The following is a 27,667-nucleotide window of genomic DNA, read 5'->3' as shown; positions in this document are numbered from 1 at the left end:
AAGCCCCAAACAAAAAGGAAGAGCCAAAAGCTCAAAAAAGTGATAAAATAAAATACAATGAAAATACCAATTAGTCTAGAGGAGATAAAAATAAAGACAGGTGGACAACAAATAGCAAGATGGTAAACTTAAAGGCAGTCATATTAATAATTAAAGAAAAATGGATTAAACATTCAAGTTAAAAGCCAGAAATGATCAGATTGGATCCAATACCCAATAATATGCTGTAAATAAGATACATACATTAAGTATAAAGTATAAGTATAAAAGCATAAAGATGCTGATAGGTAAAATAAAATAATGGAAAAAACATATACTAATTATAAGAAAGCTGGCAGTGAGCTGAGATCGCACCACTGCACTCCAGCCTGGGCGACAGAGCAAGACTCCGTCCCTCTACCAAAAAAAAATTAATTAATTAAAAAAGTAAAAAAAAAGAAAGCTGGAATGGCTACATTCATATTAGACACAGAGTATTAACAGAGAAAAAACGGACATTTCACAATTTAAGAGTCAATTCATGAAAAAGACTTGTCAATCCTAAATAAGCATGTATTAAATATCACAGTTCCAAAATACATGAGACAAATACTGGCAGAACTGAAGAGAGAATTGGAAAAATCCATATTATATGTAAAGATTTCAACACCATTCTCTCTTTTAATAACTGAATAACAAAGTATATTGGAAAAATCAGAAGGATATTGAAGACATGAACAACACTGACACCAATTTTCTTAGTTGACATTTACTGGACACCACTCGAAACTACAAAATATATGTCTTTTTCAAATGCATATCAAACATTTACCAAGATAGGCAGTCTGCAAATACTTTTTTTTTAAGTACCAATAAGCTTAAAAAGAATAAAATCATGCAAAGTATGTTCTTTGGACACATCAGAATTAAATAAAAGATTAGAAATTAGAATCAAGTGTGCAGCACTGTGGCAAAGCTCTCATTCCCCATTCCCTCGGTTTTCACAGATACCCTGGAAATTGAACCTGAAGGATAAGAAAAGGAAGGCTTGTACTAGTTCATATACACAGCCAGCACTGAGTCCGGAACTTGAACCCAGGTCTATCTAGAACAAAAACCTATGTTTCTCCACTCCGTAATGTAGTTCTCTCAGGTAGTTCTAAGTTGGAGATACCTGCTCCCAGACTTTTTTTCTAATTTTTTACATTAGCTAAACTTAAATGACAATATGAAATGTTACAAATAACTATCAAGAGTGAACATAAAGCCAACTCTAAAATTCAAATGAATTTTCATATATAATGTAGTAAAACGATCTGGAAAATTCCAAGCATGTTTAAATTAAAAAACACACACTGAAATAACCCTTAGGTCAAAAAGAAATGAAAACAGAAATTAGAAAGTATTTTGAACTTAATAATAACAAAAACTCGACATTTCAACATTTGTTGGATTTAGTTAAACTAATCCTATGAGGAAAACACATAGCTCAGAATACTTATATTGGAAAAGAAGAATTACTTAAAAATCAGTGATACAGCTTACATTTTAGGATGACTGACAAAAAGAAAATGAAGTGCAAAGTATGCAAAAAGAGGAAAATAAGTATATGAATAAAGTAAATAAATATATAAACAACAGAGAAAAATCAATAAAAATATGTTCATTGAAAAAATTAGCAAAATTGAGAAACCCTTATCTTGACTGATGAAGGACAAAAAAAGGCAAAACACCAATTACTAATATCAGGAGTGACAGTGGAACATCACTAAAAATCCTGCAGACATTAAAAGGATAATAGGAAATAATCTAAAGAAAAGTATGCCAATAATGTGACAACTTAGATGAAATGGAAAAAAATGCCTTGAAAGCCAAAACTGCCACAAGAAGAAACAGAAAATCTCAATAACTAAAAAGGACACTGAATTCATAATTAAAAGCTTTCCCAAAAAGAAAACAACGGCCGGGCACGGTGGCTCACGCCTGTAATCCCAGCACTTTGGGAGGCCTAGGCGGGCGGATCACAAGGTCAGGAGATCGAGACCATCCTGGTTAACACAGTGAAACCCCGTCTCTACTGAAAATACAAAAAATTAGCCGGCCGTGGAGGCGGACGCCTGTAGTCCCAGCTACTCGGGAGGCTGAGGCAGGAGAATGGCGTGAACCCGGGAGGCCGAGCTTGCAGTGAGCCGAGATCGCGCCACTGCACTCCAGCCTGGGCGAAAGAGCGAGACTCCTTCTCAAAAAAAACAACAACAAAAAAAAAAACACAACAGGCCCAGATAGTTATATGAGTAATTCTTTTGAGCAAGAAATAATACCAGTTTTACCCATAGGCTTTCACATAATCACAAAAGAGGGAACATTACCCAGCTCATGTAATGAGACCAGCATAACCCTCACATTAGTCACAGCATTACAAGAAAAGAATACTACAAACCAAACAAACCAATATCCTTCATGAACAAAGATATGAACAAAATTTGGTGAAACCCAATCTCTACTGAAAAGAAAAAAAAAATTCGCTGGTATGGTGGCGGGTGCCTCTAATCCCAGCTACTCAGGAGGCTGAGGCAGGAGAATCATTTGAACCCAGGAGGTGGAGGTTGCACTGAGCCGAGATCGCGCCACTGTACTCCAGCCTGGGCAACAAGAGGGAAACTCTGTCTCAAAAAAAAAAAAAAAAAAATTCTTAACATGAACAAAAATCTGTGACAAAATATTAGTAAATCAAATCCAGTAATATATAAAAAGGACAATAAATCATGACAATATGAGGGTTTATTCTGGACATGCAAAATTGGATGAACATTTCAAAATCAGTAAGTATAAATCATCACACTGACAGATTAAAAATAAAAACATATAATTCTCTCAATAGATCCAGTTAAGTATTCAACAAAACTCAACATACTCACACAAAAAAATTCTCGGCAAACTGAAAATGAAAAAATTGCTCATGAAAATAAAGGTCATCTACAAAAAAATCCTGTATATAAAAACCTGAAGGCTTGCCCTCTAAATTTGGAAACAATGCAAAGATGGCTGCTCTCAAAACTTCTACAGAACATTGTACTGGAGGTCCAAAAGAGTGAAACGGACAGTAAAAAGTTATTAAAGTTATGAAATTTAGAAAGGAAGAAGTAAAAATCTGTTTGATGATGGGTGACACAATCAAGCATATGGAAAATCCTAACAAACTAAACAAACAAACCCCACCCTAAAGTTCAAAAGGTCAAGATCAATATATACAAATCAATTAATTGCATTTTCAATGAACAACTGGAAAATGAAAATTTAAAAAGTACTATTACAGGCCGGGCATGGTGGCTCACGACTATAATCCCAGCACTTTGGGAGGGAGGCTGAGGAGGGTGGATCATCTGAGGTCAGGAGTTTGAGACAAGCCTGGCCAACATGGAGAAACCCCGTCTCTACTAAAACTATAAAAATTAGCCGGGTATGGTAGTGGGGACCTGTAATCGCAGCTACTCTGGAGGCTGAGGCAGGAGAATTGCTTGAACTCAGGAGGTGGAGATTGCAGTGAGCCGAGATCACGCCACTGCACTGCAGCCTAAGTGACAGTGAGACTCTGTCTCAAAAATAAATTTAAATAAAAGTACTATTACAATAGCATCAAAAACAAAATATTTAGGCATACATTTAACAATATATATGCAAGGCCTGTACACTCAAATCTAAAAGAAAAAATGCTGAAAAAAGTTAAGATCTAAATAAATGGAGAGATATATTATATCCATGGACTGGAAAATACAGTATTGTTAAGATTTCAATTTTCTCCAGACTGATTTATAAATTAAATACAATCAAAATATCATCAGGCCTTTATGTAGAAATGGACAAACTGATACTATGATCTATACGAAAAAAAATATATGGTTCCTAAAATAGTTGAATCAATCTTCAAAAAGAAAAAAGGGGGAAGACATATAGTATGTGATTTCATGACTTACTTTAAATTTTAAAACTATGTTAACCAGGATAAAGTGGCATTGGACTAAAGATAGATAAACAGATGAACAGAGCAGGGAATGCAGAAATAGATCTATATTCATAGAATTAATTTTTTGGGCTCTTTTCTGAACAATTCAACAAACAAAGGAAAGATTTTTCAATATGATATGAGAACAACTGGTTATCTATGTGGAAAAACAAAACACTAAACATTAACCCAGTACCTCAGAGTATTAAAAAAATGGATCATAGGCCTAACTCTAAAAGAAAAATCTACCAGTCTTCCAGAAGAAAACACAGAAGGATACCTTTCTAACCTGAATACCTTTCTAACTTTAGGCAAAGATTGCTAATACTGAATTTAGAAACCACTAAGCATAGAATAAATTGATACAATAAATGCCATCAAAGTTTTAAAGATTCTGTTTAAAAGAAAATGAATTCACAAACTGGGTGATAATATTAACAATTCATATATCTGACACAGGACTTTTATTTGAGATATATATGCGTCTGTGTCTATATCCTAACATACATTAAATTTAAAAACAAATGACCAGTAACAAAAATGAGCTAAACATTTTAACAGATACTTCACAAAAAGATATATTAGCTAATGACAAATAAGGCTATGAAAAATTGTCCAACATCATTAGTATCCAATAAATGCAAATTTAAAGCACAATGTAATAAAACTATGCATCCATCAGTATGGCTAAAATTTGAAAGTTTGACAGCTCCAAAAATTGGTGAGGAAATAGAGCGCCTGGAATTTGTGAACATTGCTAGAGGACAGGTAAAATGGTACAATCTCTTTGGAAACAGGTTTGGCAGTTTCTCACAAAGTTAAACAGATACCTTGCCTTAGTCCTTTTCATGCTGTTATTATAAAACAATGAGCTGGGCGTGGTGGCTCACACCTGTAATCCCAGCACTTTGGGAGGCTGAGGCAGGAGGATCACCTGAGGTCAGGAGTTTGAGACCAGCCTGGCCAACATGGTGAAATCCTGTCTCTAGCAAAAATACAAAAATTAGCCAGGCGTGGTGGCACATGCCTGTGTAGTCCCAGCTACTTGGGAGGCTGAGGCAGGAGAATCACTTGAACCCAGGAGGCAGTGGTTGCAGTGAGCCGAGATCATGCCACTGCACTTCAGCCTAGGTGACAAGAGTAAAACTGTGTCTCAAAAATAAAAAATAAATAAAAATAAATACATAAAATATAAATAAAACAACTGCCTCCTCTTTAATACTTAGCTTTAACTGACTATAATGAAATTTTGCTGTCAATAAGACCTACACCAGTGTCTTTCTCTCATTCCAGGCCTTAGTCTTTTCTTGATGTCCTTTTGAGGAAGTTCATATAATGCTTTGCTAATAAATTTAGAGTAGTCCCATACATGTAATGTATGAATGTGAACTCAGATATAACCTCTGAATTTCAGCATTAGCTGGCCCAGAATAGAAGCCAAGTGAAGAAAACCACAACTCCTCTGGTACCACCGGAAATACACAGGTGTGACCAAACAGTGATTTTATATCAGCTTTCAGCACAGATCATCTAGTCTAGAGGATCCACCTGTCACTTCACATTCCTGACACTGTCCTTATTACACCATTTAGAGCAGGGGCTTCTGTAAAAGGGGAGCTACTCTGGTCGCTCTGGGAGGCAAACTTGTGCTTCACTCCTACATTACACCTTGCTTTGATTGTTCTGATCCTATTCATTTGACAATAAGTTATTAATTTATGTCACCTTCCATAATTATTCCCCAGGATACATCCCTCAGAAGATGATCCCCACAAAAAGCTCCATACTTAAGAAATCTGGAGTCAAATACATATGAAAACATCCTGCCACTATAATCCAACTTCCCGCAGATATTCCCATCAAATGTTCACATATTAAATACTTGAATGGGTCCTAACTAAAGTAACTTGATTGATTTTTTAAAATCCAGACATAAATGATACTTATTTGATGATAAAAGCCTTTGTCAAATAACACCTATGAAAATCTTAAGGAAATAATGAGTTCATATTTATTGAGCATTTCATATATAGGTATATATGCCAATAACTGTGCTGAGCACTTTAAAACAACCTTATAAGGTAGTGGTATTATTGTGTCTACTTTAAATATAAGGAAATTAAGGCTCAGAGAGATTTACTTTTCACAGAGTTAGGATGTGCAGAAACCAGAATTTCAACACAGGTGCTCTGATTCTAGAGTACAATAATGCATTGCAGGACAATACTGATTCTTAGTAGTGTTCCCGAGAACTCAATTTGGGAAACTGCCTTACATCATGTACTTCAGTCTTTCCTTTTCACACTGGCTTCTGAGGAGCAGAAGCAATGAATTACCCTGAACTGATTCACTAGTACTTCATACGCAGCATATACATTTCAGGCCTTTGCTATTTAGTTTTAAAGTTGTAATGAAAGTTTGAGGTGAATCCTGTTTTTCATCAGCTTTAAAAAAGCATTAAGTCTCTGTAAAATGTAACAATTATGTGCTATGTTATTCACTTTTGAAGAAATATTACACACTCTATAGACTAGGAGCCAGGAGGATTCTGAATGACCTGATTTCATGATTTCATGTGTGATAACTCATCATTACTTTTCTCAAGACCATTGAAAACATCCTTGAAGGGATTTTCTGGGATTCTGTGTTAGGTGAGAGACACAAAGAAAGTTTTAGACACAGTCTGATTTAGGAGCAGCACTTCTGACAAGAAGGCTTTATAATTTCCATTTATTGTAGAATAATATAGTACTATCAACATAGAAATCATGTTTATACCATTTAAAATCATAATTTAAATGATTTTCATTTTAGCAATTGTGGCTGCTGGTATATTATAAACCTGCTTAAATATTGATACATAGTGTTTAAAATAATATTATAATTATGCATTTTTGGAAAATAAACATTCAATACCTTAATTAGTTGCATACAATTGGATGGCTGCTATTAATAATGTTTTACAACTACAGATAATGCTTCTAATAATATTAAAAGGTATATAATTCCCTTTCTGTTATTTGTTCAGGAAAAATTCCGAAAGTCTTAGGTCAGATGATGCAATCTTTTTTATGACTCTTGAAGTCTACCATGAATGATTTTTAAAAGGGTCTTAATAATTCACCAACAATATGTGGCTCTACCAGTTTTTTCTATCTTTGGTAGCTTTGAATATTTTCTTTGTTTTTAATTTTTCATAATTGTACAGACACAAAATTGTGTCTCACTGTACTCACGTCGATTTTTTTAGCTACATTTGGGCATTACGGTACTAACAATATCAGAAACAATATTTTGAGTATCTTACATAGATGAAAACTTTCATATTTTTCATTTAAGTTTGATTCATTACTATGGGTTAGATGCCGTCGGGCTAGGTGCTGGAGCTCTCTTGTTCTCAATCTCTCCTTTTGTCCTTATTCACCACAATGTTAATTTGGAGCTGAGAGATTCATCACTGACCGCATCTATTACCTTTCTGCTTCACCTTGGCTGCTTTGGCAACTTCGCCTTTGGCACTTCTAGCATGACAGACATAGCTGCGCTTGAGATCCTCAGAGGTAACTTTCTTGATGCTCAAAATCTGAGTTCTTGTTTCATCTTCTGTTCTACTATGACTTATACTAGAAATAGAGAGAAGAAAATCAAAGCATTTGAGAGTGACTCAAGAGCTATGGACTGTGTAGGAATCAGACAAGTAAGCAACCACAGACCCCCACTACAGGTGAGGGCGAGGAAGGTTGATAAGCTGAGCCACCTATAATGCAGTGATTACAAAGTATTAATGGTAAGATTCTAACACTATACTATACCATCTACGCTACACACTATCCCATTGTCTAGACCAAATCCCAATACTGGCTTCTTTTTATAGATCTCTCTTCAAAACAAAATGTCTCTTTTGCTTAAACTTCTGAGCCAGGATGCTGTATCAGTTTAGAGAGAAGCTTCTGGGGCCAGGTCCTTTTGGGTTTTTATCCAGGATTTGTCAATTCCTGGCTATATACTTTGGGTGAGATAACTAATCTTTCCAGGTCTCAGGTTCCTCTTTTGGAAAAGAGGGAAGTCATAATGCCCACACAGTGCATTACATGCATTAATTTATTCAGGAATTCTGAGGACTGAATATGCTAAGGCATGAATATTAGAATAATGCTTAATAAATATTCATGTAGGTATTACTGTTATCCCATAGGAATAGCTGATGCATTTCAGTGATTCCCAAAGCATGGATTCTGAACACAGCTAGAATACTGTGGTCAGAAATCTGAAATCTCATGGTTAAATCCTAACATATAAAAAGAGAAAGCTGTTATGAACACGTAAACTTTGTAAAAATAAATATATCCAACTCTCAGTGAATCAGAGATCAAGTGTTTTGGGTCCAAGATCAGAATTTAAAATCCCTTTGAACTCCTTTACTTATCGCAGAGAAAAATCTCTCTGCTACAGCTGACTGCCATCTAGGTTCTCTTTTTAACTAGGCTTACTGTCAGGTATGAGAATTTGGTTAAGGGCTCTGATTGGTTTTGCTTAAGCTTAACGCCACTGCTATCCTATGAACACTGAGTACGTTTCAACAGCAGCAAGGTGGAACAACATGACTTTCCTTGTTATTTATTCATTATTATTATAAGGATGGGCTACAAAGTGTTAAAAATTCCTAAAAAAGATCAATAATTCTCCCTGTGAGCCTCCAGCTACATTACTTTGTCATATAGCTGACCAGCTGCAAATTTTTAATTGGTGCAGTGAGCCAACTGCTGTTCGGTAATGGTATGCTTCATTTGCAGTGGAACCTTCTGTCTTCAAGGACGCACACTTTCCACTTTGCCAACGCTTTAAAAAATCAGGTTTATTTAGGAATAAAATGTTATTTTATTTTAAAAGTGAGTTATATTACTACCCATCTACCTTTAAAATAAAATTTAAATTACACAAACGTATTTAGTTAATATTAAAAATTACTAATTATAAATGTAACTATAGGTTATATGAGATAAGAAAGAGGAGGAGAGAGAAAATGCATGCTCACTGCAATGCAAAAAAAAACAAAACACAATTACCTAAGGCACAAATACATAGGGCCAGACACTAGGATTGAGAAAAGGAAAAAACACAACTACACTGTAGGTTTCCACGTACCCACAACCCTTGATTGTGACCTTTTTATTCATGTAAGATATGTATTCTCTCTACTTCCATGTGGGTATCATAAATGTGTGAATCTTGCTGGGCTTAAGACAATAGGGTGCATGTCCTCTGGACAATCTGATGAAGATGCTCAGCCTCAGAACATTCTAATTCAGCTCTCCACTGGTCATCAGGCAGCATCTATTCCTTGCATTGCTAGCCCAGTAACCCTGGTTTGGGATGCAATCACCAAAGATTTGAAAATCTTGCCGATTTTTGTTAGTGATAGGGAAAAATGAGAATTTTTATTTTCATTGACTAGAACACACATCAGAGATCATTAAGTTGAGAAACAAAGGTTAATCACTCCCTTGCTGGCCCCCATGATACCTTTCGTTAATGGTGACATCAATAGTGATGTCATCAGGTTTTTTTCCATCAATGGTCCACCAAACCTCATTGCGAGAATCCATCAGAAAACTAAAATAGACCGTACAGGGAATGAGTAGCTCCTCTCCTGAAAAAAAAAACCAAAAAAACAAAAAAAACAAAAAACAAAACAAAACAAAACAAAACAAAACAAAAAACAAAGACAAAGTTAGCCCATTAGTGTTTATCCTTCACATGGCTATATTGGTTCTACTCTCTGGCTAATCAGAAGCTACGAGTTATGTGTACCTGAAACCCTGCTTATGAGTAATTCTCTAGTCGACTCCCATAAGGTAATGCACCATACTTCATTCCAAAACAAACAAGCGAAACCAAATAAAGAAGGCCATCAACTTTGTATAAAATTACCAGAGTGACCATTTTTAATGTAATCTAAATAAATTCTAAAATGATGATATTTGTTTAAAAAGTCTCTGACAAGGCTAGGCATAGTGGCTCACACCTGTAATCCCAGCACTTTGGGAGGCCGAGGCAGGTGGATCACTTGAGGTGAGGAGTTCAAGACCAGCCTGGCCAACATGGTGAAACCCCGTCTCTACTAAAAATACAAAAATTAGCCGGGCATGGTGGCACCGCCTGTAATCCCAGCTACTTGGGGGGCTGAGGTAGGAGAATTGCTTGAACTCAGGAGGTGGAGGTTGCAGTGAGCCAAGACTGTGCCACTGCACTCCAGCCTGGGCAACAGAGTGAGACTCCATCTCCAAAAAAAAAAAAAAAAAAAAAAAGGTCTCTGACAATATTCTTTTTAGCCCTAGACCTCCAGAGACTGCTCTTCTCCTTTGTTATTTTCCTCAAGAAGGGTGACTGAGGACAGGTTCTCCATATCTTCAGTCCTTGGCCAGGAAAGATGGGGAAATACCATCACAGAGAGATCTGGCTGAGGAGGCCCACCTTGAAATGCTCCACCTATCAGGGTGCATTCAATAAATTTTAAGATAACTTAAAAATAGAAAACTCTATGCTATCCCTCTGAGATGGAACATGAGGTTAGGGAGATCCCTAGGCAGAAAACAGTAGTAACAGCAGCAGTAGCAACATACTTACTAAGAACTTTGTACAAGTTATTATGCTAAATATTTATATTTATTAATGGTCTTATTTAATCTTACAAAAGCACCATAAGGTATTTTTTAAAATCTATGTTTCCCAAATGTAAAAGGTGAAGCTTAAGGATGCTAAATGATATTCCTAAGTTAAATCAGTAATAAGTGAAGGGCCAGGATTTGACCTAGACTGACCTTCCATCCCAGTTTGCCCAGAACAGTTCTGTTTTATGCCTGCTTTCCTGGTTACCTATATTAATAGGTAGTGGCTATGTTTACTCACAGAAAGTGTCCTGGTTTAGATGATAAATTATATCGTCACCCTAATTTGAACTTAGGCTTACCTGACTGCGTGGCCATACTCTATCTACCCTCCCATTGCAACGTCCTTAAGTCTTTTCCCTCCAGTTTTCCCTATCTGTATGTCACTAAGAAAGATAAAGGGAACACGGATTCAACAATCCTTCTGTCAGCATAGTTTGACAGGTAGACAAATATATTTATGTTATTAATAAGGGTTTACCCTGACAGCAGGAAGAGTATTCATATGACTATATAAAGCCATACCTAATTCTAGGAAATTCAGCCTCTTACCATGTTCTCTGTGTTTCACAAAGCAAGTCATATTTTCAAACTTATCTTGATTTTTTTTGGCATTGTTCTCCATCTATGTTGATCACTATTATCTTTTTTAGAGCAAAATCAAATTTCTCTGTCAACATACATAACATACAAGATCAATTGTATCTTTATTATTGTTTGTTGCTATAAATTTATTCATACCAGGAAAAATGTCATATTTAAAATTCTCAAAATAGTTTTGGCACAGGTCAAATCTCATTTTGTTAAGTCCCTGAACTCTTTTAATTGATTTATTTTTTTCATCAGCCTCTTCCCCAGTCACCCTAGCCCCCTCGCTCCAGAATGCTTTGCTGCCCGCCCTGATGCCACAGCCACTTTTACTCCTACTCATGTTAATTCTAGATAAACATTTAATGTTACAGCCTTTCTAGCCAATTGTGCTCTGCAGAAACCATGCAGCTTTTCTGCATGAAGACTTAGCATCCCTACCCCAAAGAGGACTCCATACAATTTTTCTGATGCTTATTGGCAAGAGGAACTAAATAGAAATAATAAGAAGGATGCACAAAATGCACCCTAAGATTGCCTATAATGGTCAGTGTTTTAAGGTCTATAAAGCTTTATGCCTCCGGTGCTCACCCAAACACTGGATGGCGAAGAGGTCCACATCTATGTTCCACATCCAGGTTAAACTTATTGGCAAACCAATGGTGCTTGTGCACAACCCAGTTCAAGTCGCCAGCTGCAAAAATGCACCGCGAGCACACGAGGACCCCGCTGCAGTGTGGGTAGGGAGCACCCTCGGAAACATCACCCTCAAGTTACTGCCACTTGACCCGCCTGGCAACTGCGTGCATGTCCGACAAGTTGTACTTATGGCTTAAGGAAAGTGAGCTGAAGACTTCAGGGACCCTTTAGATAGGGCCCAGAGATACGCATCAGGGCTGTATGTGTCTTGCACCCACTCCATAAACTTTTTAATTTTTTTCATTCTCTGATACATATCCTACATACTCCCCACTGACCACAAAACAGGCACTGCCTGAAACAAGAGGTGTGTCAAGTGGAGGATGCATTTTGACAGTTCCTGTGTTTGTCAGCTTTCCATGAACAACTACATACCTCTTTTTCCACCTTTTTTTTTTATTGAATGGCATCCTCTCCGTTGCTTTCACCCATTAACAACTGACTATTATCTTTAGCACATTTTAAACAGATGCTCTTTTATACCTCTGTGAAAGCTGTCAGAGTCAAAATGGAGTCACTCGTGTCACACTCCAAAGAAAAACAGTTGGGAGGTCATATAAAAAGGGCCCTCACACACACATGCCTATTATAAAAACTAGTACAAAGACTCTGAGCACCACTATCTTGCACAAAGGCCAGCGCGATTCTTAAACAAATAATATTTCTGTGAGGAGGTCTGACCACCAAATGCCAGTCAAGCCTGGACGGATGTTACCCTGTTATTGGTTCTTATAACCAAGGATAATTATTTCAGAACAACTTTATGTAATCTTCCTCACTTTGCCTTTCAAAACTGTTATGTTCCTATGCTTTCTGGGTATGGCTATGGTTCCCGCATGGGATGCCATAGCACTCATATTCCTGGATTGCTATCTGCAATTCATTCCTGAATAAATCCTTTTCTTTTTGGAGAGCTATTGTCTTTGTTGTTATTTAGGTTAACACCTCTCACTGGGTTTGGACTGGATGTATTGTAAGTGATACAACATAGAAAATGTTAAAATTTTCTATAGTTTCCTGTTCACTTAACTGTGGGAGGCTTTGAGTCAAAAGAGTAACATGTTATCCCGTATTTGGTCAGTTATCAATGATTTTTGGCTATAATGAAAAATTATGGAAACTAAAAGAAGAACCGAAGAGCCACAGTAAGCATTCAATAGTGTTCTGCGTCAATGTCTACTAGTTTTATCAGTTGTTAGCTATTATATTCACAGTCTTGCCTTCAAGATCCACCACTGACCTTTCATAATGGAGCAGGAGCTTGAAGGATGTCTAAATCTTGTGCCCATGTTGCAGCCTTGGCAAACCAAAGCCCTGTGCAAGCTAAAGTTTGCATCAAACAGAAATCACTCATCAGCAGAGGAAGACGGCTAGCAGAGGGAGAAGGGAGCAGATACCGAGAGTGAAGCAAAAAATTCTAGAGTTGCCCATGGGATCAGGGAAGTAACTGATCTCCACAGCTGCTTTGGTTTCTGACATTTCAGTTTCAATTCATGTGTTTCTCTACAACAGTCGTCTATTTTCTTGCATTAACTTAAATGACATTTTATTCCTTGTAATTAAGAGAATCTAAGTGAAATTCAGAGACATAGCTGTAATTACCTGGTTCTTTCTCATAGACCACATGATCATTAGGTGAATGGATCACAGGGGGCACTGCATTTTTTGGAGAGCCTGTGTTAGAGGAAATAAAAAAGGGAGATGATGTTAAATCAGGCAGCCTTATTAAAAATTCTGCTCTTCTCTGAATCTTGCCTAACTTCCTGGCATAGTTTGTCAGTTGTTTTAGAGAAGGCCTATAGTCCAAGATATACTCAATTACTGCACTTCAGTCATTTAAAACAAGCAAAGCATAAAATAAAGGAAATACAGGTTTGATGACTGCTCCCAGTTCCTGACATGGGCTCCTAAATCCCCTGTGATTTCCTGTGTGACAGGGGTAATAGGAGCATCTATTGTTTTAATATTGTTCTAGTCCCAAATTCCTAACACAACAGCTTCTAAGACCTTTGGAATCTCTGGAGTAACGAGTGGATTTTATATGCTAATGAAATGATTGGTGGCTAGGGTTCCTATATAGCTTCTGGATGAGCGCTAGTAGCCAGAAAGACCATAGATGATTAACACAATCTCCAGCCTCTCACCCATCCCTGGAAGTTTGGGAGTGTGGCTGAAATTTCCAGTCCTTTTACTCAATAATGCCTGTGTGACGGAACCTCCATAAAAACCCTAAACAATGAGGTTCGGAGAGCTTCTAGGTTGGTAAGGACATCCACAAGCTGAGAGGGTGGAGCTCTGAACTCAGGACCCTTCCAGAACTCCCCCTATGTATCTCTTCAGCTGGATGTTCATTTGAATCCTTTATAATATTTTCTATAATAACAAAGTAAGGGTAAGTAAAAGGTTTTCCTGAGTTTTGTGAGCAGTTATACCAAATCACAGAACCTGAGGAAGAAGTAGTAGGAATCTTAAGTTTGTAGCCAACTCAGGCAGAGTTGTGGGTAACGCGGGAACCTATTGCTTGTGACTGGAATCTAAAGTAGGGGGTGGGGCAGTCTTTTAGGAAGGAGTCCTTCACCTGTGGGGTCAGTGCTAACTCTGGATAACTGGTGTCAAATTGAATTAAACTTTAGGACATGCAGTTAATGTCCTCAGAAAAGGTGAGAATTACTTTGTATAGAAGAGCCACACATTTAGTGACAAAAGTGTTTTGAGCATAGAAAAAAATAGTTTTTGCTTTACAAAGAAAAAAATAAAACATACTAAATACCCTCCATGCTTAAGGTCGGATTGCTTAGCAAAGCTTTCCAAAGCTTACATGAGATAGATGTCTTATGTTGCATAATACCTAATTGCTTTCATGCCTTAGTCAGTTGTTTCTTCTCTCTGTATTTCTTCACAACATTACCGAAAGTGTCTAGTATGGAAGCTGGTTAAATAAGTATTACATTAATGAGTAAATCAATGGAAAATTCACAATCATGATGTTAAGGCCGGCACATTAGTCTACTTGATGACTAGTTACCAGTTGAATGTTTGTTTATGAGATTGCTGCTCTTTATAATATTCAGTACTCCTAATTTTTTAAAAATAATACATTGAGTAGAGTTTTTAGTATTGTCTTCAAAAGTATGAGCTCCAAAGATTTAATAACCAAGTTCTAATCCTGATTTGGCCATATATTAACCATATAAAAATGCAAAAGCAAAGTTACTTGGTTTTTCCTAATTTTTGAAAAGCTAATTTTTCATAACTCTAAAATGAGGATAATTAAAACTCATATCGCAGTTTCACTATGAGAAATAAACTAAGGAATATATATTAAGGATATGCTACTGGCATATAATAAATACTCAACACTTTGCAGCTTTAAAACAACAAACTTGTGTTGCTTGAAATTTGAGAAAGAAGCCCCCAGTGCCCAGATCTGTCTGTGAATTTTTAAATCTGTTAATCAGAGTGACAAAGTATGCTTATTCCCAACTTCCCCAAAATGCATACTTTTAAGCACATATATTAGAAACAACTGCTAAGATGAATATAAGGTTACATTATTCATTTGACTTTTAAAATTTAGTCTGTTTTTTTCTTATGAATTAATCCCCAACTCAGCATTATTTAGAAAGTAAGCAGAAAAAGAACAGAAGTGATTACGACATTGTTTGAATACTATTTGCACTATATGAAAGGCTGTTTGTAGCTAACTTATACTAAATCATGTCAGACCAGTAGAAAAAGCCCTGAGCAGAGACCTGGGATCTAGAATTACTTCTTCAAGTAACTCACTGAGTGTCTCTAAACAGGTTACTTCTTGTCAGTGAGCCTAATGTTTCCATCTATTAAAAGATGGGGTATGACAAAACAATACCCAGAGATGCTATCTTTTTTAATACACTGGACACAGTGGTATTTAGGGGTAATCCCCAAAAGCCATATATCCTGACACTACTTCTCTATTTCTGGGTTTGCTAGGAGTTTGTCAACTCTGTCTAAGAATTGCCTTTCCCACTTTCCTAGTTTCTCACCCCCTATTCTCTTAGTGCAAAATAATGGTTGAACATTATTGCCAGCAAATACCTTCAGCAATAGGTACAGCAGTTTCAGTATGTAGAAAAATAGAGTTTACTTAATCCAAGTAAAACATTCTTTTGACAAAAGTGTTGCACTGAGTCTCTATTGCTTGCCTGAAACTGCATTAATACAATATGAATATTTTTTTAAATATTCTCAATCAATTGCAGTTCCAGAGTACAGATAAAGACAGGGACCTTGTTCAACGTCATGTTTCTAATAAGTGGCAGTGACAGAATTTGAACACAGATCTGTCTGGTGCTCCTTTCCCTCCCCAAACTACCTTTACTTCATTCATTTATTCACATATTCATTCAGTTGACCAACAGTTACTGAATGCTTACGATGTGCATGGAATTGTTGAAGGCTCTAGAGACAGTACTGTAAACAAAAAACATGAATCACTTTTCTTATACAATTTACATACTAGTGTGTAATAAACTATTAAAAACCATAACAAGATGATCACATGCTTGTTGTGTGTACTGGACACTAATCATGCTTACCTACTACCTTTACAGTCAGAGTCCTGGTGAGATGAAACGTACGTCCATTTTCTGGATATGTAACAACACATGTGTAATTTCCATTATTTGAAATTAAGGCAATGAGGAAACTCAAGTTCATACCTTCGGGTATTACATTATTAAAATTCTGTATTTTATAACAGCCCTAGAAAAAGTAAAAAAAAAAAAAGTTTACTTTTTAGATACATGCATAGAAAACATACAAACACACGCACACTCACATCTAATTTTGCACAGAACACCGAAATATTCATGCTGCAGTTTTTATAAAACTATTTTGGTCAAGTATTTGACAAGATTTCTGCGAAGAATAAATGAAACACCTGTCATTATCTTTTCTGATCATGAGAAATTAAAATTCTAAACTAAAGTGTGACTTCAAAAACACAGGCTTCCTGTCTCAGGATCAAATTCTGGGCATCCTATGTTGATAGTAAAGCAAAGTTACAGTTTTGAAATAATGACTAAGGAAACTTGAGCAACTGCAAGACCTGCTATTTAGAAAGCAATTCTTTTTCTTTTTATAATATTTCTTCACTGATTATATTAATTTGGGACTCCAGTCACTCCGTCTGATAATCTAGGCCCCAATTTAGATGTCTGATTGGCATTTTTAATCACCCTGTTGTTTCCCTGTATCAGATATTTCCAAACTGTTTTGCATTTTTCTTTTATTACTTTTTTTTTTTTTTGAGATAGGGTCTCATCAGTCTGTGACCCAGGCTGGAGTGCAGTGGCGTGATCTCAGCTCATTGCAACCTCAGTCTTCTGGGTTCAAGCACTTCTCCTGCCTCAGTCTCCTGAGAAGCTGGGAGTACAGGTGCGCGCCACCATGCCTGGCTAATTTTTGTAATTTTGGTACAGATGGGGTTACACCATCCTGTCCAGGCTGGTCTTGAACTCCTGACCTCGTGATCCGCCTGCCTGGGCCTCCCAAAGTGTTAGCATTACAGGCATGAGCCACCAACTTTATCCCATTTTTATAACTGAGTATCACAGATTTCAGAAACTAAAAATAAAATATCTTCATGGGCCTGATCAAGATCTAGGAATGTATTTCTGCTCCTAATTCACATTTGCATATAACTGTTGACATTTAAAATTGAGAAATTGAACTATCTCAGTCCACAACTATCTCATTCAACATATCTAGAATCCTGTTTCAAATTCTCAGTCTCACTATTTGGCTAAATTATTACTTTTTGCTGTTTTTGAGAAAAAAAATCAATACACTATCTGTGACAAAAATATATGTTGAACATTTACTTTTAGAAAAGCTTTTGTTTTTCTTTTAAATATCAATAAGTCACCTATGACAAAAAGATTAGGTTATCTCTAAGGCTTTTTACATCTTTAAATTTCTGGGAGTCTACTACTAGCTTGTAACTTCAATTTTTTTTATTCACATATTTCATCTTTAATGTTTGTATGATTAAGGTTTTCTTCAATTCCTGGAGCATGTACTTTGAAATATGACAGTTACATTGAGGCACATTTTGTAATGCTTTGTCACAGGAAATGTGTATTTTAAGAACAGCATTGAACTTCCATTTCATGGAAAAGATCATCAAGAGGAAGCTACTATAAGCTTGGGTAACGTATTTTTTTCAACGCAGCTTCTCCTGTAAGATAAGCAATACTTGTAGACACTTGTCAGGTCAGCAAACGATTTCAATATCCTTAGGATATCACAAAGGATAAGGTCTCAAAGGCCTGTATTCTTATAAGTTTATGTCAGATTTGGTTTGAATTGAGTTTACAGTATCAATAGAACTATTTTATTTTTGTGGTACTTTTCATTTAAACAGTTCAAAGGTATTTCCCCCTCATTTGTTAGCTTAGCTATTCTGAAACTCCTGTGAAGTAGACAGATCAGACTAAATACGCTGTAATTTTATAGACGGAAAAAATGAGACAGAGATATTCTAGATAACACAGTAGAGAGCTGAAATTCAGTTTTCCAGAAAGCCGAATAACGGTCTTTCATCAGCTTCTTAACTAAGAATGAATACCTCTCCTCAGCAGTGAGTTGAGGCTATAAAAAATTATACTGAGACATGCACTTAACATATACTCTGTCTCGTCTGATCCTTATTCCAAACATGTAAAGTTTGTAATGCTTTTACCTCCGTTTTATAGATGAATGAACAAGGCCTAGAAACGTTAAGTAACTGTCAATGTCATACCACCAGACAGTGTTAAAGCTGGAATTTGAATTCAGATCTACTTGTTTCAAAGTCCTTGCTTTTAATTTCACCTGATAGTGTCTCTTCATTCCATATAGCAGCCCTGAACCTGTGCCATCCCTGGAGCCAGCCTGAGTGAAAAGCGTGATGTGGCTCTATCACTTAAAACAGGCTAATTCCTGCAATCAGTGGTAAACTGAGGAAGCACACTTTTGAGGATGAGAAGTCAATTATTTTTACTGAACTTGTCAACAGTATTTCCTTAAGAATGTGATGAAAGAAACTTTTTATAGCTGTTTCAAAGCTATTAGGCCTAAAACATTTTAGAAATAAAGGGAATATTTTACATTCTAATACGTGTGTGAGGGTAATTCAGGGCATTGTTACACTACAAATGTCTATGAACATTAACCTGCTGTGTGTCTGGTTAGCTCTCTCTTTCTTATCAGCAACTCTGTCTCTAGACCCTTCACAACACATGTACCTGAGACACATAGGATAATTTTAAACATAATAAACTGTTGATAAAAATAAAACCTGAAAATGTTATAATGATTTCAAAACCATTTATTTGGAATCCAGAAGAAAACAAACATAAAAAAAGATTTAGATTCTCCAAGAATAGGAAACTTGCTTTAAAATATAAGAAATGAGTGAACAGTAAGTGAATTTCCACAATAAAGCAAACACTTGTCTGACTAGAAGACAAACAATCCTAGTTGACCCATTAGTTCCTCATTCTGAATTCAAAAGAGAGAAGTTAAATAGAAGAGCGATTTTTCAACCATGCTATGGTTGCTGTGGCAACCGACCACAACATATAGGTAAAGAACAACACAAGAAATGACTTTGGGATCTTTCAACTGAAACGAATCATGTGGGGAGGGGAAGGGTGCAGTGGAGGAATGTCATGATGAAGTAAGAACAAGTGTTTCCATTCAAGAAACCAACAATGTGTAAAGAACTGTGTGAAGGCACCAAAATGGAAATGATACAATTCTAACTTATAGTTATTCATGGTCTAATGAAGGATTGCAACAAACACAATAAAAGGCATTTAGGGTCAAGGGAGTATGAAATAAAAACAAAACAACTTAGAAAAACTTAATGAAGAAAGATTTGGGCTGGTTCTTAAATGATAAGAATATTAACATCTGTTGAGGAAGAAGGTAGACATGGGAAGTAGACACTTCAGGCACAGGAAAAAGCGTGAAGAACTCACCTGTATTGTCTTAATTTTTTTCCCTGACTGTTAGTACTTAAACTACATTATTATAATGCTCTGTTTTCATGCAGAGTTCCTCCTTTGGAAAATTAACTTGTATGAGGGACAGTGGGGTTTTTAAGTTCCATATCTGCGTGGTCGGAAACTTGCTCAATACTTGGTGCTTGGTAAATGCTCGACACGTTAGTGTTGCCTGATCAAAGGTATGAATGAGAGAAGCCAAGACCCAAAAGGCATGGAGCTGAGGGCTCATCGAGTGTATAAGTGCTGATGAGTATTTGGAATATAAGACATTGGATGGTGGGTTGTAGGATGGAAAGGGAAAGTAGATGTAAAGATACAAAGAGTTTAATTGAGATACAAGGTTTGAACTGTTAGTAGTATCTACTGAAGTTTTTGCATTCAAGATAAAGTTGGTATAAAACACATACTTTGCTATGAAGTCTTAGAAGAGTTAGATAAACTAGTCACTTCCAATTAACAGAATTAAGTCATGCAATGATTACACAACAAATATTTACAAAGTCCCTCCTATGGGCCAGGCACTGGGTTAGGAGCTGGCTATACAATTGCCAGAAAAAAAAAAACCACAAATGGTGCTTATTCTCTGGAATTTTACAGGGCAGGCTAATTCATTCAATTATTTAATCAATTTCTAAGTACAATATAGTTAGCTCAGTTTTATGCTGTGTGCTTGGTATTGAAGGGAAAGAGAAAGAGACAGGAAAAGAGTGGTCACTACTTACTACAGAAAAAAGAGAAAATCTCTAGAATAATAAAGACAAGATATGAATGAAGTGCTATCGAAGTACAGAGTAGGTGATTTATATGGCCTGAAGTGGCTTCAAGACTTCATAGCTATTTGAATTTGGCTTTGTGTTTAAGTCATGAATCTTGAGTCCTCAGAGGCCCTAAACCTTACGTCAAATGTTATCTGTATATGCATATATGTACACATATAGAATTATATGTGTATAGCTCTGAAAGAAAATATGGTACATACTCTCTCACACTAAAGGTTGAAAATCCAATCACTATATAGGAAGTGTAGGTAAAGAAAAGAGTTAAAGAACCAATCTATGTTGTCAAATCAAATAGAAGCAGGCATTTAAAAAATAAGGCTTACTACACAGACCTTGAACTAACTTCTCAACAATATCTCTATGCCAACAAGAAGGCCAAGCCAGGCACGTTTTCAGAAATGTTCTTTCCTAATAGCACTTAGTCTGGAAGAGCAAATATTTTCCTATTTTCTAAGAGATAGTTATAAAAAATGCTTGACCACAATAAAAATGAAAAGTGGAGGTAATATATCAATTTTAGTAATCACTGTGGCTACAAGGAAAACTAGCTTTGTGGAAAGTTACAACCACAAAGATAATAGAAAAGTCATTATCTATTCTGATAAATAGCAGGTGAGAGTAGTTCAGCAGCTGTCATAAATGTAATCTACAAAACACCCAATAAAATGGTTCTTTTGATCCTCGGTGAGAAAATTGTCTATGCTTTTATAAGCATCTCTAAAAGATAAAGTTTTAAATATCAAACTATAAGGAAGAGAATTAATACAGTAATATGAAAGTTAGGATGGCCTGCCAAAGACTCTAAATTAATCTCATCAGTAACAAAAGCAACAACAAAAGGACTGCATTACCTGTGTCTTTACTTCTATATGTTTGGAGGTTCCTATGTGAATAAACAAGGCAGTCTCCCATTTATACACATGGTATATTTCAGAATTTGTTTTATAAGCCAGCTGTTTGAAATTCTGTAAATCACTTACAAACTATGGTTTGCTTTCCAGACTAGTTACAAAACCTGGCTTATTCAACAAATATTTGCTGAACATCAGTTTAACTCACAGGAGTTAAACTAGAATACCTAATGTTGAATTAGAGAATTGTGAATTCATGGCAGAATTTTTTTCCGCCATGCAGAAAAAAAAAAGAGGAGAAAGAGAAGGCATGTGGAGGAGGACAATCCAATCCTATCCCATTTCTTCAGCAATTCTGAAATGTAAACATTTGGTTTTCTGTTTCCTGTAATCTCAGTTTGTCTGAGATGCCTCCGATTTCTCAGGGCCCTCTATCCACAGGTTCACCTACGTCCCACGGTCCAGTCCACACCCCAGTATGTGTTCAAAGATCACCCTGCCCTTCCAAAATGTCCTAAGCTCCAAAAGTAAAGGCTGGACCACCCTCCTTACATCAGTTCTAGAGAGTAGAGTTTTTGTAATCACACAGAACTGGCCTGAAATCCCAGACTCTCCCATCAGTAGCTGCATTGTTTTGAGTAAATTATATATGAAAGTGTAAAAGTGTGGTTTCCTGACACATTACATTACATAGGTTAGAATCTTAGCTCCTAGTTCTGTGGCCTTGGAAATATTTCTCAACCACGCTATACCTTGGTTCCTCAACGATAACATGGGGAAAACATGACAGCCTATTTCATAAGGATGTTGACAGAATTAAGTAAAATCAAGCGTTTGGAACAATACGTGTGTTCAGTAAATGTTAGCTGTTATTGTTTATCTCTCTGAATCGCCATTTCCTAATCTGTCAAAATATGGTATCTCCCTTGCAGAGCTGGTGTTACATATGAACATAAAGCACACAGCACGCTGCCGTGTGATTACTGAAATGTAAGAAATATTAGTTTCCTCTTTCTTTCTTAAGATTAGCAGCTTTCATCTTTCAGATAACGGGAAAGCAAATTTCCTGAAACTTATTATTATGGATCTATCTTTTAATCCTCATAGACTTAGTTGCATTACTAAAAGAGAACATCTTTACCATGTCTCTTTTAGTAATGCAAATAAGTCTATGAGGATTAAAAGATAGATCCATAGAGGTAGGAACCAACAGATGTAGGAACCTCTGTTGGTAACAACTAAAAAAGAATTGCTGAAGAAGGACCAAGACATCCGGGTAGATGCTTGGGGATGATTGTAAAAGGCAGAAAATAGAAGGCAAAGTTAGCACTGCTGTACAGAGACAGGAGGATGCAGTGACCAAGAACCTTTGTTTTGTTTCCAAGATGGCAGAAGTCTTAGGATTAAAGGTGTCAGTTGATTACCCAAAGGTAGAGGAACAGGAAGCAATATATCAGAAATTATTAGCAATCTTCTTAATCAAATAAGAGAAAACATGACTGGTTGTTGTCTTTTTTTTTTTGAAATGGAGTCTCCCTCCATTGCCCAGGCTGGAGTGCAGTGGCACGATCTCAGCTCACTGCAACCTCCACCTTGTAGGTTCAAGCTATTCTCCTGCCTCAGCCTCCGGAGTAGCTGGGACTACAGGTGTGCGCCACCATGCCCGGCTAGTTTTTGTATTTTTAGTAGAGATGGGGGTTTCACCATATTGGCCATGTTGTTTGCCTTTTTTAGTCACCTGTGCATGGTTGGATATTGGCCATGGTAATTGTTTTACAGCTGTGACTTTTTCTGTCTCCTTCTCAGAATTTATGTCTCCATTTACCCATGAATAGTATCTCCAGAGTATGGCATTAGCTCAGTTCTCTTCTCACTTTATTTAGTCTTCTTAAGTGCTTCAACTATCACATGAATGCACCCAATTTTCTGTCTTTAGCTCTGATTTTTCTCCTAAGCTCCAGACTCATAATCACGTAACCACTACCTGCTAGTCACTGCCACCCGCCAGCTAGATGTCTCACAGACATCAGCAACTAACTTAATATGGCATTACCTAACCCATTACTTACTCCCTAAACCTGCTTCTCCTCTGTTACTTCATACCTTGGTTAATAGCACCATGTCATCCTTTCGTGAAAACCAGAAATCTGGAGATGCAGAGTAAGACATTACATAGCTTTGCCCTCAAGAAATATGCTGTCTTCTAGGATACATATCTCTCTCTCCTTAAAACCAACAGTATTTTCTCCTTGTCACTCTTATGAAACTTAGAAGTTTACATTTTGATAAGAGTAGAAATTCTTTGTATTTACAAAGTTATTTGTATTAAATTATGAGGTCATTTGGGACTACACAGCTCTGGGCATATATTTTATTCATTATGGTGTTCCCTCAACCCCCTGGCATATTGCACTGATCACAGTTAATCTTCAGCTAGTATACAGATATTCCTTAACTTATGATGAAAGTTACATACCAACAAACCTATCATAAGTCAAAAATATGGTTAAGTCAAAAATGCATTTAATTCTCACAACACAGCAGACGGTCCCCAACTTATGACGGTTTTATTTATGATTTTTCCACTTTATGATAATGTGAAAGTGATAAAAATTCAGTAGAAACCATAGCCCCATCATAAATCATAAGAAGCTACTTGACATACCATGAGGTTTTATCCCAATAAACCCATGATCAAGTTGAAAAATCTTAAGTCAAACCATAGTAAATCGAGGACTATCTGTAGTCATGAATGAATGACTAAAAAAATAAAGAAGTGAAAAATAATATTGAAACAGGTATAAATAAACAGGAATACATGAGAGAAATATGATTTCCAGCTGGAGGGAACAAGGAACAATTAATAAAGGTGGTACAATTTGGTCTGTTCTAAAGGGAGGACATTCTAGGCAGAGGAAATGCATGAGGAAAAAAGGAGATGAGAAAACGGCAGGATGTGTATGGGAACAAAACTAAAAAATCAAATAAGGTTCGAGATTAAAACCTAGATTGCACGGTAAATAAACTTTTTTTTTTAACTGGAAGGTATATTACACTTATTGATGTAAAACTGTTAATATTATTTTTTAACCATCTTTTAGGTTTTTTACCATGAAAAATTATAATCAGAGAGAGGACAACGAGCTCCTGTATCTTTACTAGCCTCAACAAGTATTAATTGAGACTATGTCTTATTTCATGCACAGCTACTCACTGCACCCCAAGATTATTTTGAGGCAAATCACAGACATCATATAATTTTATTTTAAACAATATTTGAGTATCTCCAAAAAAGAAAACTCCTTCTGCAAGCATAACTACAGTACCATTATCAAGTTTAAAAAGTAATAATTTATTAGTAACATTAGTATTGTATGTTCCAAATTCCCTGATCTTTTCATAATTTGCTTTATAGTTTTTTTCAAATGAAAAAGATCCAACTAAAGTTGATTCATTGCAATTGGTGGTTAAATCTCTTAAATCAGTCTCTGCATCTCTTTCTCTTCCTCACTCCTTTTCTACCTTTCTTCTCTCTCTCCCTCCATCCCTCTTAGTCATTTTATTGTAAAATAAAGCACATACAAAAAAACCATGCAAAACACATCTAAGAGTTAATGAGTTATTATAAAGCAAAGGCCTTTGTAACCATCAGTCAGGTCCAGGAACTTTGCCAGTCCCTCCTGAAGGCCTTCGTCACGGCCCATGTCAATCACACCTCCTTTACTACCCTCCAAAGTAGGCACTATCTATACTTTTATAGTAAAATCACTTCCTTGTTTTTATTTATATACTTTTCACCTATATATGCATGCTTAGATGCTACAGTGCTATCTACTTTTTAAATGTCTTATATGTTTCTTTTAATCTATACAGTCCCTCTTCATGACATTCCTTTTCTTACAATTTATCTTTTGAAAAACCCAGCACATCTGGCCCATAGAGTTTCACATAGTCTGGATTTTATGGATGACATATTCATGCTGCAGTTCAATGTATTTCTATGTTATTTATATATCTCCTGCAAAATGACAGTGGGATCCAAAGGCTTAATCCGACTCAGGTTTAATTAATTTGGTAATATGAATCAATATGTAATATTTTCTTCTTTTATCAGAAGAAACATGTCTGATGGTTTTTCCTCTTGTGATGTTAGCAGTCATTGATGCTTAGATGCCTAGATTTATTAATCTATTGAGAGTTGCAAGGTGATGATAATTCTAATTGGATCATTAAATTTTCATTTACTATTAGAAACACTTTACAAAACACACTTCTCTACAACACTTCATTACCCAATGTTACATGTCTTCTAGGAAAACCAGAATGAATACTTGATTATTCTCCTTTACCAGTTTTCAAGATAATAAACTGATTTCCTATCATCATCCAAATGTAACCCATTAAATTTTGTGAAATGTCATTATAAACTTATAAATTTAAACTGACTTCATAGGATTTAAACCATTGCAATTAGGTTCAAATTATTTCGGTTCAAATTGTTCATCTTTGGCCAACAGAAGACTCTTCAAGTTGACTCCCAAATTGTATCATTAACAACTTAAGCAGAGACAGAATTTAAAATGTTCAGCTTTTGAAATTTACAACAAATTGTGTTTGTGGAATTTTTTATTTCTCTCGGGAGTTCTGCCAAATTTTGCTGCATGTTTTTGAAGCATTGTTATTAAGCACACAAGCTTTTGTTATTTTTATGTTTCGCTGATAAAGTGATCCTTTTATTATTATGAAAGGTCATCTTTATCTCTGGTAATCCTCACTGTCTACTTTATCTGATATTCTTACAGCCATTCTAATTTTCTTATTGTATTTGTCATTTTTTTAATTTTAATTTTTTCTCCCTTTCACCTTCTACTAATCTTAAGGTATTATCTATTGTGTTTTTTATTCTGTGATCTTCCTCTTAGATTATCTTCATTTCTAAAATGATTTATTTTCTTCTAAGTTTGTATGGAGTTATATAATATATATAATTTTTGGATATTTCTAATTCTTATTATTCTTTCACAGCTTGTATCATTTTAAAATGTCATTTAGCTCACTTAGGAAATAGTAGTTTTTTCTGAATTTTAAAATAGAAAAGGATTTTCTAACTTCACCAAGATATCTTTTGAAAACAATGGTGTCTTGGTCTTAAGACGTCCTGGCTTTGTTCTCCTGATCCATTTTTCACCAGTCCTTCTCTTTCCTTCCTATATATTGTCCTCATCCAGTTTACTTTTGATTCTACTCACAGTAGCTTCTCCTCAACGTGGCTGGTCATATTTCAGAGTTGTGAGGAACTACAACTTTTCCCACCCCTTCAGAGCTTCTTCTTATAGGTCTCTTGCACTACCCCTTATTAGAGAGCAAAACCTCTCCCAATTTCAGCTCCTGGTCTCACGTTGGCTCATCACACTTTCCAGTGAGTACCTGTTGGCTCTTTTGGCGTTCTCCTGTTGTCAAGTCTGACAGACACCACGTTACTTCCATCTGCTTCCTTCCCCACAAACACTGATCCCATATGGGCTTAGGCTGTTGGTGGCTTGTCTCAGTTAACTTTATCAAAGGTGGTTCCTATGGATAACTAGTCACTGAGTTATGTTGCAAATTCTGGCCGTGGGGTTTCGGCTTTGGTGTATGTGGAGACTTGAAGTGATACAAAAGCTATGCTGCTGCTACAAGCGCTACCTTCCAACACTTTTATATTTTGATGAAACATTTTCCAAATCCCTTGGATGTGGAAAAGACCATAGATGGACAGTGCTCACAAATGAGGGCAAAGAAAAAAACACACATAAATAATAAAATGCAGTACTGATTAATCAAGGAATTGAAATTCACCACAAGAATTAACAGCTTATGACTTCACTAAGCAGGAACTAGAAGTGGGCAGCATTTCTTAAAATGTATTTCACATGAAGTTAACAGAAATAAGGTAGTTTTGGTATTCTAGTTAGAATAATTTCAGAAATAGTGGCCTGAGACAAAGTACTGTGCACCACTTCCTTTAAAATGGTACAAAATGAGGACGTGCTGAAATACTTCCATAAAGCTATTACGGAATAGATCA

General features: G+C 36.1%; 1 protein-coding gene and 1 pseudogene across 18 annotated transcripts in view; both read right to left on the bottom strand.

Annotated features, from left to right (window-relative positions):
- The window catches only part of IL1RAP (interleukin 1 receptor accessory protein), a 145,666-nt gene that overhangs the window by 22,796 nt on the left and 95,203 nt on the right, over positions 1-27,667 (bottom strand). For 10 of the 18 annotated variants that reach the window (NM_001167931.2, NM_001364879.1, XM_047448081.1 and 7 more), the window contains 4 exons: positions 16,515-16,680; positions 13,540-13,611; positions 9,506-9,632; positions 7,457-7,605 (listed from right to left, as the gene is read on the bottom strand). In NM_001167931.2, coding sequence (NP_001161403.1) covers positions 7,457-7,605; positions 9,506-9,632; positions 13,540-13,611; positions 16,515-16,680 — 514 coding nt within the window. Of the gene's footprint in view, positions 1-732; positions 2,643-6,669; positions 7,606-9,505; positions 9,633-13,539; positions 13,612-16,514; positions 16,681-21,600; positions 21,668-27,667 lie in introns of those variants that run through there. The other 8 variants (XM_047448085.1, NM_001364880.2, XM_047448086.1 and 5 more) reach the window with 4 other exon arrangements.
- GCNT1P3 (glucosaminyl (N-acetyl) transferase 1 pseudogene 3) lies at positions 11,789-12,356 on the bottom strand (annotated as a pseudogene).

This window comes from Homo sapiens, chromosome 3, assembly GCF_000001405.40.
Source record: "Homo sapiens chromosome 3, GRCh38.p14 Primary Assembly".
Classification (NCBI taxonomy): Eukaryota; Metazoa; Chordata; class Mammalia; order Primates; family Hominidae; genus Homo; species Homo sapiens.
The sequence above is the reverse complement of the archived record's forward strand: the minus strand, read 5'-3'. Positions and strand labels throughout refer to the sequence as shown.